The 14,359-nt window shown below is 34.4% G+C and overlaps 1 long non-coding RNA gene across 1 annotated transcript in view; it reads left to right on the forward strand.

Annotated features, from left to right (window-relative positions):
- LINC02742 (long intergenic non-protein coding RNA 2742) overlaps positions 1–14,359 on the forward strand; it is a 162,086-nt gene that overhangs the window by 120,982 nt on the left and 26,745 nt on the right. The gene's annotated exons all lie outside the window — the stretch shown is intronic.

Below are 14,359 nucleotides of genomic sequence, written 5' to 3' on the forward strand. Positions count from 1 at the left end.
AAATCAAGTTTCCAAATGAATGCAATGATCCATGATGGAAGCAATCATTATCTTGGGTAAAGATTAGATAGACAATGAGTCTTTTTTTTTCTACAATTGTAGGTTTAGGAGGCCCTGTAACTACATTCTTGTGTATTATCCATTGCTTTCCCTAGTGTGAATTATTGATAATCATTTTGTTGTACTATTCTATGGAATAATTAAAGTTTATAGGCAAAACAAGTATTCCCAGAACTTGACAGCTATTGAGGGGGTGGGACATGTATATACAGAGTTAGTGGAGTGGAGAGAACAGCTGTTTCTTTAGTAATGCCCTATGTGAGATACTGGCTTCATTACATTTACTGCCTTTGTAAACTTAATTAACAAACATCTGCATCCTACTACCTATTCCCCAAGGTTCTGACATTTTCCTCATATTGAAATACCTTCATTTTTATTGATTGAACATTCCCCAGGCAGTTCTTCTGACAAAGTTACCAATTGGTGATATGTCGGCATAAAGCAAAGACTAAAAGCTATACTTTCTGAGGCCTTAATTCGTTAGAATATCAGTGCAATTTTTCTAATCATGGCTTATAGGAGAAAACTGGGTACATCACATAGTTTTCCTTCCTTTCTTTCTTTGTGTCCAATCCCACAGATGTCAGCAAAAAATTCAAGATCACTTCCATGTCTGTAGTGCATGTCTAACTAAGTTTCAGATCAATTCAGTTTGAGTTTTAAAAATAACCAGTGATTCACTATGCAGATCTTAGATGTATTTTTATACTCCCAGGCATATTCCTTTGTCCCTTTGGTGCCCCTTCAAAAACCACCCAGGGTTTGATCTTCTTCAGTAATGGCAGATTTATTGCTGTGATAACAAGGAATGGGGAAATCTGTCTGCTTCTCCTTCCTATAAATGCGAGGACCTAGAGGTGGATTTTGATGGAGCTAGACAAAAATTATTTTACCTCCTAAAGACCTCTGGTGGGTGGGATTGTGGGCAAAAGATACTGTTTCTAAAAGCCCTCTGAACTATGCTCATTTCTCTTAAAGTTATTTCAAAGGACATCCCTAGCAACCGACTGATTGCTCAGCCTGTATTATCAATGGCCTATGTAGGTGCCATGATTTAAATTGGCTCCCTGGCTTCTCAGGATGATCGTTAATATTTTCGAGGAATACAACCCCATGCCAATGGAATACTGTTTGGAAATGGAAAATTACAGACATATAGGTAAAAAAAATTCATTTTTATAGAAAAAATGTTCTTTTAATATGCTGCGATTATTTTTAGATGTTGAGATGAGAGCATGACTCACCACCTTCCATTTCTTCCACCCCTTATGCCGGCCCCCACTCATCTTTCCTGACACATCGTGATGATGAAGGGAATGACAGCCTGTTCTCCACAGTGTGGTCATCACCACATGTTGCAGCTGCTTTGGGGAAAATACAGGGTGCTCTATGTCTTGGCTACAGATCCCCAGATTCAACGTCACTATTCTGTGGGTCACTGCACACTGTGACCTAAAATATATCCCAAAAGGCATTCAATGGGAGCACCTCTTTCTAGTGGTTACCAATCAGATTTAGAATATCAGGAATCTAGACTCAAATGTGGCCTTCACCCCTTAGAAGTTGATTAACACTAGGTGAGGTTTGTGATCTCTCAGAACATATTTTCTACAAAGAAATGAATAATACCCACCCAACAGGGTTATGTGAAATACTAAATGAGATCATGATTACAAAGAATTTTGCACCAGGCTTTGCATAGACTGTTCAAGCCATTGTTGTCAGAATAGTGAATATCATCGTTGTAACTGTTGGAGCTCAAAACATGATGCCCCACAACATGGCAGCTTGACAATTGAGAAAACCGCAGAAGCAAGAAGGTCACTGACTTTCTCCCATCTTTCCTGCCTGAAACCTGACTATAAAGGCTTTCTCTGACCTATTTTGCTCAGGAAGAAGGAACGTGATAAAGAGACACAGGAAATAATGTGAACAAACAGGCCTTGCTGAAGGCACTCTCCACTCTGCATTCCTTACCATTAGATCATACCCCTTTTTGTCCAATCATGTTTCTCCACAACTATCCACTTATATCATCAGATTTAGCATAAAAAATATACAGTTTTTCTTGGGTCTTTGGGCCTTCATTTCTGAAGGCTCCCAAGTCAGATAAAACTTTTATTAAATAAGTTATGCCTTTCTCTTGTTAAGCCGTCCTTTGTTATTGGAGTATCAGCCATGAACCTTGCAAATAGTGAGGACAAGGTATTAAATTTTCTCTTCTACATAATCATAGTGATTCCAACTTCAGCTGTTCCCATTTTTTCCACTGCAAAATTAAAATATTCCTGTAGCATCCACTAGAATATCATGAGACTAAATTTCTACATCTTTATATAAGCATGGTGTGCATTTATGGGAAGGGTCTTAAGAAAATCCAAATCATTATTACTGTGATTGAGATTTAAATTGAGGGGGCAGCTATTTGTTTTTTGATATTGAGAGAGCCAGTTCCTCTGCCATTTGATTTTTTTTCTTATGCTTAAGAGACAATTATTTATTTGTAGTCAATTTTATCAAGCCTTAGGCATGATTCATATTCTGTCCCATCCCCAGCCAAGATGCCTGCCCACCTGCTCCCCCACACTCCCCAGTTCTGTCTCATTGCAGGCCCACTGCTCGTATTTTCAGAATTACGCTCTGCCAACTTCTCTATTATTCCTCTGCCCACCTTACTCCTTACAAAAGTAGTCTGTCCTTAGGCTAATTTCTCAGACTGACCAGAAAAATAATGACCACTGCAATGCATACTTTTAAAAACGTGAAAGAAGCAACAGAGGAGTGTTCAAACTCTTGTGTACATCATTATCCTTCACTTGTCACACCCCCTACCCTGAAAAATCTCTGGTTTTCATTCTTCTTATGACTGGTGGGTAGACACGTGTTAAAATTTCTTTGTCAAGCCAGACAAGGAACAAATAATTATTGTAGTGGGATTATACCAGATTATTATTTTTCAGATGGATTTAAGCTTTGCCGCACACAGCTCTCCTTTCTTAGTCAGACATCATGCTTCTTGATATAAGCTTTAAAGTCAGAAAGTTACGGGAGATGTTTCAGGAAACGAAAAAGAAATACCCATGTTGATTTGTCTGGTGATCCCTTCTTTTCTCACCTCCTTTTCTCTCTTGGCATAGAGAAAGGGAAAGAAAGAAGATTCTCAGAACTAGCAACATATTGAAAATGAAATTGGCAAACTGCCCTCCTTCTTAGGGGAAGGTGAAAATATCAGTTGACTGTTAGTGATTCAGAAATGAAATTTCAGTATATTTAAGTCTATTTTAGAAAGAGGGATGGAAAGCACAGCTAACATGAAACAATTTAAAGAAACAGGTTACTCTGGTACCTACATTGGTATGGATATGTGGTGAAATGAAGGAGGGCTATGACCAAATATAGCTTTCTTAACTGCTGTTACTGGTGCCCAGAATCCAATCCATTTGTAAACGTTGTCCTTAAAAGTGAGTCTACTTTACTCCTCTATCAAGACCTGATTAAGATACCCTGAGTCAACAAAAGTTCTAAATGATAAAAATGTGTTAGTGCCCACCATCCCAGACCTGTCACATAGAATCCAAATTAAACATAATACTAAACCTAAAAACACAAATATTAACTGAGCTTCCTTCTAAAATGAACTTTTCTCATTTTATTGGTATCTACCTTAGTGGTACCCTAAATATGGGCTTAGTGTACAACTTTGCATTATTTCAAAGTTGAACATATAAGGTGACAAGTTGTGCAGTAGTTGTAAGTATACGGCTTTAGGGTGGTAGAACTTTGCTATTTATTGAGAAGCCTGGGCAATTTTTCTTAGCTTCGGTTCTTTTTTTTTTTTTTTTCCCATGTTACATGCAAATAATGGTACAGTATAGAGTTGTCATGAGGATTAATGAGATAATGCTCAATACATCTTAGCTCTTTTTATTCAAATTATTTGAGTTCTAATGTCTTAATTAGGTGACCACAAACAATGTGGCTAAATATTTGGTTGGTGCAAAAGTAATTGCAGTTTTTGCAATTAAAAGTAATCACAAAACTTGAATCACTCGTATTTCTTCAGTAAAAAAAGAAATGAATATCTGCAAAATGGGGTTAATGAGAGAGTATTGTGGAGAGGTGGAGAAAAAACACATACTTTTAAAAGAACTAAGTCTAGCACATAGTAGACCTGCAATAAATCTTGGTTCTCTTTTACTAGCATACCTCACCGGCATCTTAGTATTGATGGCTTTTTAAATTTATTTTTCTTACTCTGAAGTACAAATTATATAAGAGTTACTGAAGGAAGGGATGGGGAGACAGTCACAAAATCAGGAAATTCTATTTTGCTTCAAGTCACCCTGATGATTCAGAGTTACTTTACCAAAAAGAATTTAGACTGGACAATCATGGGTACAGCTTGGGCTCTTTCTCACTTTGGCTGGAATTTCACAGGATTTTTAAGTAGAGAAATAGTTTCATGCTGGTATACAAAATTGAGCTTGGAATTAATCAGCAAAATGAAGATATGAAAAGGACAATTTTCTTCATTGCATAGTCTATAGGAAATTTGAATATTTAGTCCAACTACGGGTTTGTCAGTACAAATGGATTGTCTTAATTATATCCTCATTTTCTCAATGGTTGTATAGTATAACTGAATTTTATAGCAAACTTACCACTTCCAGGTCATGTTCTAAATGCTATGTTTTAGGGATATATTGTTTAACATATACTAATTTATGTGATGCTTAATAAAATTTGTCTGACAGGTATTATTGTTTTCTTTATTTTATACATGATGACATGAGGTACAGAATGATTTACTAACTTCCTTAAACTTCTGGTGTCAAGATACAATTCCAGTGCACAATTTTAATTGCTTTGCTTTATTTCCTCCCTATAGAATGGGCATGAAAATAAGAGTTCATATTTTCAACCCCATTTAGACTTCTGAGCCAAAAAATATTTTTAATTGATGGGGGAAAGGCATTGAAATCTCCAAATTCCAATAATAATTTTCTAAGCAACCAAAAATAGACAAATATATAAATTAATAATTTTAAGACACTGGACATCAGGGACTGAAATACACTGAACCCTGTGGGACGGGAGACAAATGAGGAGAGCCAAACAAATTCCTCAGGTTACAAATTTGAGAGTATCTGGGTCATAGTACAGGGAGGAGAAATCCATGTGAGATGTAGAGGACTCCTTAGTTTAGGAGACAAAGCAGAGAGTCTGGGCAGACAAAGGGAGCTAGAATACAGGACAGGGTATGATAGAGTGTGCATTGAAAGAGAGCTCTAGGGAGCTGATTAGGGTCTTTCTCAAGTATTTTGCTAAATATTGATGAGTTACACATGTATGTGAGAAAACTACTAAGGACTGGAGAAAGAACTACCCAAAAGGATTAGAGGTAACAGTGTCTAGCATTACACAGGACAAGGAAAAGTCCCTGTTTATGTCACTCAGATTGAAAAAAAAATATGATTCACAGGAAATTGGGCACAGTACTCAAGAAGGTCTTGCCTCAGTGGTAGAGTGTAATTATCTCTAGAATGAGCATTAATCCAGAAGCTACTAACATATCATTAAAGCAAGACATTACAGGATCAAACTGTCTTTCCAAGTAACTTAATTGCATTATAGAAAAAGCTCACTGATATTTATAGGAATGAATAATATTCAGCACAAATAAAGTAAAATTTATAATGCCTGGTATTTAATCAAAGATTACCAGATATGTAAGAAAATATTACTTAGAAGGAGCAGAAAATCGATCAATTGAAACCATTTTAGATCTGAGCCAGATGTTAAAATCAGCTTTAAAAATAGTTATTATAGTTGTATTCTGTGTGTTAATGTTAAGTAGGAAAATAGAAAATATAAAAAGTTTCAAGTCAAACTTTGTGAGATGAGACCTACGATTTGTGATCTGGGATGTGATTAATGGCAAATCTGATAGTGTGGAAGAAAAGGTGAGTAAACATGAAGACCTAGGACTAGAAACTAAAATAAAACACAGAACAATATTTCTTCTAAGTGAAGGGAGAATTACTGAGCTGTGAGACACCTTCAAGTGAGCTAATATATTTGCAATGGAATCCCTGAAAGAGTGTGTGTGTGTGTGTGTGTGTGTGTGTGTGTGTGTGTGTGTGTGTGTGTGTTGTTGGCAGGGAAGGAATTTGGGGGAAAAAAAGACCGAGAAACAATTTTTCCAAGTTCAGTGAAAATTATAAACCCACAGTTCCAAGAAGCTAAATAAACCCAAGGCATAGAAACATGGAGAAAACAACACTAATAAACATCATACCACATTGCCCAAAATCAGAGATAAAGGAAAAATATCTTTAAAGCAAACAAAAAAAGATGCATTGCATACAACAGTTCAAAAATAAGTATGACAGCAGATTTTTCGTAAAAAACAATGCAATCAAGAAGACAGTGGAACAACATCTTTAAAGTACTGAAGGACAAAAGCTATTAAACTTAAATTCTGTATCAAATAAAAATATTTTCAAATATAAAGATGAAATCAAACTTTCTCCAACAAAGTTGAAAGAATTCATTTTCAACAGAACTGTACTATAGAAAGTGTTAAAGGAAGTACTTTAGTTGGAGGAAAATTAAGCCAGATAGATATGCAGATATACACACAGTACTGAAAGGCACTGAAAATGGTATCCACCTGAATTCTGTTCCTTGAATACTCCTCATTAGTCCCCCTGCCTACAAATCTCAGTATATCAAATTACTCAACCTGAAACAATAATGGAAGAAGGTTATAATGATTAGACTTCGATGGCTTTAAATATCAAGCCTAAGCTAATGTAAGCAAAGGATATTGTTAGTAGTAGCAAATTAGTATTAGTAGTAGCAAATTAATTAATTCAGTGATGTTTACTAAATATCCTCAATTATGTTATTTGTTAATTTGAAGTTTCTGTAAGAAAGAGAATACATGAACTTGAATTTCACAAATACCTGTGAATTGCACAAATGTGATATTTTTAAAGCAAAAACTCAGCTCAGTATGCTTTCAGATATTTATATTTTTCATCACAGCATAGCCTATGTCAAGACTTTTCTATCCTCTGCATTAGAATTACAAACTGAAGACAAATTCATTAATTCACTAACAAATTTTTTCCTATCTATAGACTTCCCAAGTTTGATCTAAATCATATATATCTAAAGTTTAATTATAAGGCTTTCTATTATAAGAGTATAAGATCATTTGGGGAAACTAATATTTTGATTAATAAGGTTGTAATATTTCCAAAAGAAATAACAAATAAGCTTGGAGGGGGGATATAAAACAAGGAGAAATTCCAAATTGGAAACAAGAGTCGCTGCAAGAGAAAGTACTGGGATTGGGGCTTGGTGACTGAAGATGAGGGTCAAGAAAAGAAATGATCACTTATTTAATCATACTGTTATCTGTATTGAGATTCATTTCAACATGTATTGTTTCATAACTTAAAAAAAACAGAATAAGTTGGCAATGTTCATCAATGCATGTACCCTTTGATGAAGTAATTATACTTCCAGGACTGTATTCTACAGATATGCTCCTTTCTAGGCAAAAAGATGTTTATATAAAAATGTTCACCATAGTGTTTTTATGCTAGTGAGAAAATGAGGCACATATGCCCCTTTGAAATGGTCTTTAACACACATTGTTAATTAAGCAAAGAGCAGAGTGGCGTTACAACATTCACTTTTGCTTAAATTATACACAAATATGTGCACACAAACACATGCATATATATACAATTTAATATAATGTATATATCATGAGTTATATCTACTTAATATACATATTTGAGTATATGTGTGTGTATAATGTGTGTGTGTATATATATTTATGTTTATATATATTTACACATATACTCAAATATACAAATATACAATTTATGAGTCTATAGGCACAAACATTTTTTAGGGCCAACAACACACACTGTTAATAGTGGTTGCAACTGTGGAGGGGAATTGTTGGTCTAGGCTGGACACTTTCATCTCCCGATCAATACATTTCATACTGTTTAAGTTCTGTTTCATGGTTTGTTTTCTTTCAGCATACACTATCATGTCTGGCTTATGACAGAGTTCTGCTTTCCAATAAAATCACCAATAGCTATGTGTGGTTCTTGAGCACTTGAAATGTGGCTAGTTCAAATTGAGATGTTCTGTCTGTATGAAATATATACTGGCTTTGAATATTTAGTATAAAAAAGAAGATAAAATATATCAATAATAATTATATGTCAAAATAATGTGGATATATTGACTAAGTACAATATACTTAAATTTTTAAAAATAATAATGATCATTTGTGCTGGTTATACATTCAGACAGAATACTTAGTATGAAGGTTAATGTTTTTAGTATTTCTACATGGCAGTATTTCTTGAAATATGTTTTGAAAGTGTCTAGATGTTGTCTTATAGCCACACCACCCTGAACGTGCCTGATCTCGTCTGAAAGTGTCTAGATGTGTGTTACTTTCCTCATTTTACATATGATAGGACATAGGCAGAAAAGCTTTAGAAAAATTTTGAAAATTACAGAGTAAATGAAATTTAACCTATTAATTTTATTTTGCAAAATGTATGAACAGTTACAATTTCTTATAAATACAACTGAAAAAATATATTAAACAGTTAATCCAGGTTGTTACTCTACTGGTTAGAGGAAGCTATTTGATGTGACTTCTACGTAGAAGGCTTTCTTTGTGCCAGACTAGATTAGATGACTCTGGAATGTGTTCAAGCAGTCTGTACATTACTTAATTCTTGTCATAATTTTATTGAATTATATTTCTTCTCCTAATCTATGTACCAAGAAAACAATACCTTTCTGCCTCGTTCCTCTGTTTTTTATTGGGTGCTTTAGAAAACTAGTTGATACTTAGCAATCATTTGATGGATCAATGGATGAATCCACCAATCCTGGAAATTAGAAAATCTTTATTTAAAAAAAAAAATGTCTCTTTGCACTGCCCCATTGTGTGAATTACTCATTTATTTACATTACAAATAATTTATTGTTGCATGTTTATAGAATTATGCTCAACAACATGCCCAATGCTTGTGGACTTGTGTACTTGAGTTCAACTTAATATCTTTTTTCACATTGTTTATGGGGGTGGAAACAAATTACATCTTCTTCATCTCAACCCTGGGGTTAATGCTAACTTCTTTTATTATTGAACACTTAACATTTACATTTCAGAGGCTTTCAAGTTTTCTTTTAGTCATAGTGTTATGCAGGCATTGCCAGAAGTATTGGATGCTGTTGCATATTTCACCATCTTTTGTGGGTGGCATGACATTAAAGATGACGTAGTACTTATCATGGAGATGAAGAAATAAATATTTTCTAACTCTAAAGAGTGCAGATTGATGGATGGAAAATTCTGAAAGGCATTCTACAATCTGCAAATCTTAGGGTAATTAAATGTATAAGGCAACATGAGATAAATCTGTGCTTTAAAGATATCTGATAATAACTTGTTATGGAATTGACAGTAGAATGGTATTTTGTAATTTTATAAGAGCAGGCTAAGTTCAGCATTTCATTGGCTATACAAGTGAGCAGCTTTGTTCTTCCTTTCTATGCAGACATTTAGATTTCATTTGGAATGAGGTAAACCACCAAGTTTTCCCTTTCCCCAACATGTTGATGAGTATGCACATAAACTTAGATGAGTATGCACAAATACTTAGAAACGTATTGTCTCACAGTACTGGAGGCTAGAAGTTCAAGATCATGGTGTTAGCAGTGTTGGCTCCTGGTTGTTTGCTGTCAATTTTTGGTATTCCTTGGCTTATGGAAACATCATTTCAATCTCTGCCTTCATCTTATGGTGTTCTCCCAATGTGTATGTCTCCAAATTTCCCCTTTTTATTAAGACACCAGTCATATTCAATTAGGGTCCACCCTAATTATCTCATTTAAAATGGATTATTTTTGTAAAAGTTCTTCCTCTGCATTCTGTAAAACCACATTCTGAGGTATTAGTGGTTAGTCTTCAACATATACATTTAAAAAGACACAATTCAATGCATAACAGTATCACACACAAATAGAATAAGTGCTCTTTCATGAAAATTTTGTTTCAGTTGTGTCCTGGCATATACTGAGTCACAATATAAAATAGCGTTCTTGTAGGTTGAGACACCATAGCACTAGGGTACGTTCCTAGGGTTGAAATTACAGGGCTGTAGAATAATTCATTTTTAAATTTACCAGATAATGCCAAAGTGATTGTGCCATTTACTCTCATACTATCGGTGTATGAAAGTTTTTCTTTCTCTACAGCATCACAATTATGAATATCTGATTTTTACATTTTTTGTCAAACTGAGATGTGATTTAGTAGCTCATTTTTTAAAATTATATGTTCTATTAAAACTGTAGTTGATTATTTTTTCTTACATTTGCTGGTCATGCAGGCCTCCACTTCTCTGAATTTGTTGTTCACATATATACATATATATGCATACACACACACGCATGTAAATATATAACATATACATGTAAATATATACAAACATTATATCTATTATATATACATAAACATGTATATTATATATACATAAACATGTATATTATATATACATAAACATGTGTATTATATATACATGTCTATATATAAACATTAGAAAGACAAACAATTTTACTTTTGGATTGTATGTCTTTCTAATAATTTGAAGGCATTTTATAAAAATATGTAATCTAATAACCAATCTTTTATTGATCACATACTATAAAAACACCTTCTCCCACAAAACTGTTTGTCTTTTAATTTTGTTTATGGTATTATCTGTAATGGAAAGTTTTTTTACTCTGGTCATTAAGAGTCTTTCTCATTAAGGTTTGTGCTTTTTGAGTATTTTCCAGAAATTATTTCCTGCTCCTAATTCATGACAACATTCTCTTCTAAAGGTTTTAATATGCAGGTCTTTAATTTAAATTTGAGATAATCTGAAGTACAGTACAAGGGAATCTGGTTTTATTTATTATTGTATGATTTGCCATTTGTCCTGGAACCATTTTATAAATAATTCTTTTCTTTCCACTACTTATTAAAATGCCAAATCTGTTATATTCCAATTTTCTATACAGTTGACCTTTCCACAACATGGTTTTGAACTGCACAGGTCCACTTACTACACAGGTTTTTTTTTTTTCATTAATTCTGTTGGAAAAATTTTTTGAGATTTTTGGCAATTTGAAAAACTTGCAGACAAGCAGTGTAGCCTAGAAGTATTGAAAATTTTTATAAAAAGGTTATGTGATGAATGCATAAAATACATGAAGATTCTAATCAATTTTATCATTTACTACCATAAAATACACACAAATATGTTATAAGAAGATTAAATGTATCAAAACTCATGCACACAAAGGCAGACTGTACATGACTTCATTGGCAGTAGAGACAGGTAAACAAACATAAAGATACAGTAAGAAATTATAACTGCATAGGCTGGGTGTGGTGGCTCACGCTTGTAATCTCAGACCTTTGGGAGGATGAGGTGGGTGGATCACAAGGTCAGGAGTTCAAGACCAGCCTGGCCAATATGATAAAACACTGTCTCTACTGAAAATACAAAAAATAGCTGGGCGTAGTGGCGGGTGCCTGTAGTTCCAGCTACTCGGGAGGCTGAGGCAGAAGATTCGCTTGAACCCGGGAGGCAGAGGTTGCAGTGACCTGAGATCATGCCACTGCACTCCAGCCTAGGCGAGAGAGTAAGACTCCATCTCAAAAAAAAAAAAAAAGAAAGAAAGAACGAAAGAAAGAAAGAAAGAAAGAAAGAAAGAAAGAAAGAAAGAAAGAAAGAAATTATTATTACTGCATAAAATTAACTACAGTACATAAGGTACAATGGTAATAATTTTGTAGTCACCTTCTCTTTCTATTGTGGTGAGCTCAAGTGTTGAGAGTATCTGTTTAAAATCCTTGTGATGCTAATCATCTCCAGGTGAGCAGCCTCTCCAGTAAATTGTGTATTGCAATAAAAAGAGATGTCTCACAGTTCTTACCTATTTTTATTGTGTTTACTGCAATATCGTAAACCTTAGATAATATCATGAGACCCATACATAGTGCCACTAGTGATGCTAGGAGTGCTCCCAAGAAGCAGAGCAGAGTCATGACATTACAAGAAAAGGTTGAATTGCTTGATAGGTTCCACAGATTGAAGTCTGCAGTTGTGGTGGCTACCATTTCAAGACATTTCAAGATAAATAAATTTGGCGTTAAGGACCAATGCCAGCAGACACGAAAAACTTGTACTTTTTTAAAAAAAAACATTTTTATTTCATACTGAAAATGCAGCTTTAATGTGGGTGCAGATTTGCTGTAAGAAAAGCATATATGTAGACTCTAATATAATTGAAGAAAAAGCAAAGTCATTGTATAACAACTTAAAGCAAATGAAAGATGAGGATCTAAAGCTAAAGAATTTAATGCCAGCAAGGGATGGTTTAACAATTTTAGAAAGAGGGGTGGCTTTTTTAAAAAGCAAAAGTAATAGGAGAAGCAGGAGAGGTATTAATAATAGGAGTCACGGTAATAGGAGAAACAGCTTCTGCTGAACAAGAAGCAGCAGAGTTCCTAAGTTCCATTAAAAAAGTGATTGAGGAAAACAGATACGTGCCTGAACAGGCTTTTAATGCAGAAGAAAGTGTCCTATACTTGAAGAAAAAATGCCACAGAGGACATTTGTTAGTTATGAAAAAGTGAGCAGCAGGATTTAAAGGAGGAAGGGGCAGGCTAACTATGGTTTTGTACAAATGCAATTGGATTGATAATCAGGACTGCCCTTATCTACAAAACTGCTAACCCTCAAGCCTTGAATGGAAAAGATAAACACCATTCCAGACTTTGGGTTGTACAACAAGAATGCCTGAACACAACATTTTATTCTGGATAAGTTCCATCCGTGCTTTGTCCCTGTAGTCAAGAAGTGCTCTTTTGATATTGGACAATGCCCCCTGATCACCCAGAACCCCATGAGTTCAATACCAAAGGCATCAAAGGTCTATTTGCCCTCAAACACAATCTCTCTAATTCAGCCTGTAGATTAAGGAGTCATAAAGACTGCTAACGATCATTATGTATGGTACTCTGTGGAAAGGATCATCAATGCTATGAAAGAGAACCCTGATAGACAACACATCATGAAAGTCTGGAAAGATTACTCCATTGAAATTGCCATCAGTATAGAAAAATACATGAAAACTGTCAAGCCCCAAGTAATGAATTTCTGCTGGAGAAAACTATGTCCAGATGTTTTGCATGACTTCGTAGGATCTGCAACAAAGCCAACCAAGGAAATCATGAGAGAGATTGTGGATATGGTAAATAAGGTGGAGAGTGAAGGGTTTTAAGATAGGGATCTTGGAGAAATTCAGGAGCTAAGAGATACCACACCAGAGGAATTAACAGAAGATGGCTTGATGGAGATGAGTGCCTCAAATGATGAGGAAGAATATGTAGAAGAAGCAGTGACAGAAAGCAAATTCACATTAGACAATCTAGCAGAAGAGTTCTGATTACTCAAGACTGCTTTGACTTCTTTTAAAACCTGGTCTTTTTAAGATATGAGCACTGAAGCTAAAGCAAATGGTGGAAGAATTGGTACTGTATAGAAGCATTTTTAGAGAAATGAAAAAGCAAAACATTCAGGCAGAAATTATGATGTATTTTTGTAAATTACACAAAATTTGCTGTGTTTCTTGCCTCTCTTCTACCTCTGCCCCTTCTGAGGCAGCAAGACTAACCCCTTTTCTTCCTCCTCCTCAGTGTATTCAATGTAAAGATAATAAGAATAAAAACCTTTATAATCTAGTTCCACTTAATATAAATATATTTTCTCTTATGATTTTCTTAAAAACATTTTCTTTTCTCTGGCCATTTTATTATAAGAATACAGTATATAAGACATATAACATAAGCAATATGTGTTAACCAACTGTTTATGTTATAAGTAATGCTTCTGGTCAATAGTAGGCTATTAGTGGCTAAGTTTTGGGGGCATGAAAAGTTATAGGCAAATTTTCAACTCCACAAGTTTCCCTAATCCTCCCATTGCTCAGAGACTGGCTGTATATGAATATATCTATATCCAGGCTCACAACTTTGTTCCAAAGGTCTACTTTTTATTATCTACAAGTTGAAAACACAATTCAATAATTTAACGTTACAGTGTCTTTATACCTTGTAGGATAAGTCTACTTCCTTTTTTTAAAAAAATTGTCTTTCTCTTTACTTTATAATGAGATTTTAAGCTCAAATTGT

Source organism: Homo sapiens, chromosome 11 (assembly GCF_000001405.40).
Source record: "Homo sapiens chromosome 11, GRCh38.p14 Primary Assembly".
Lineage (NCBI taxonomy): Eukaryota > Metazoa > Chordata > Mammalia > Primates > Hominidae > Homo > Homo sapiens.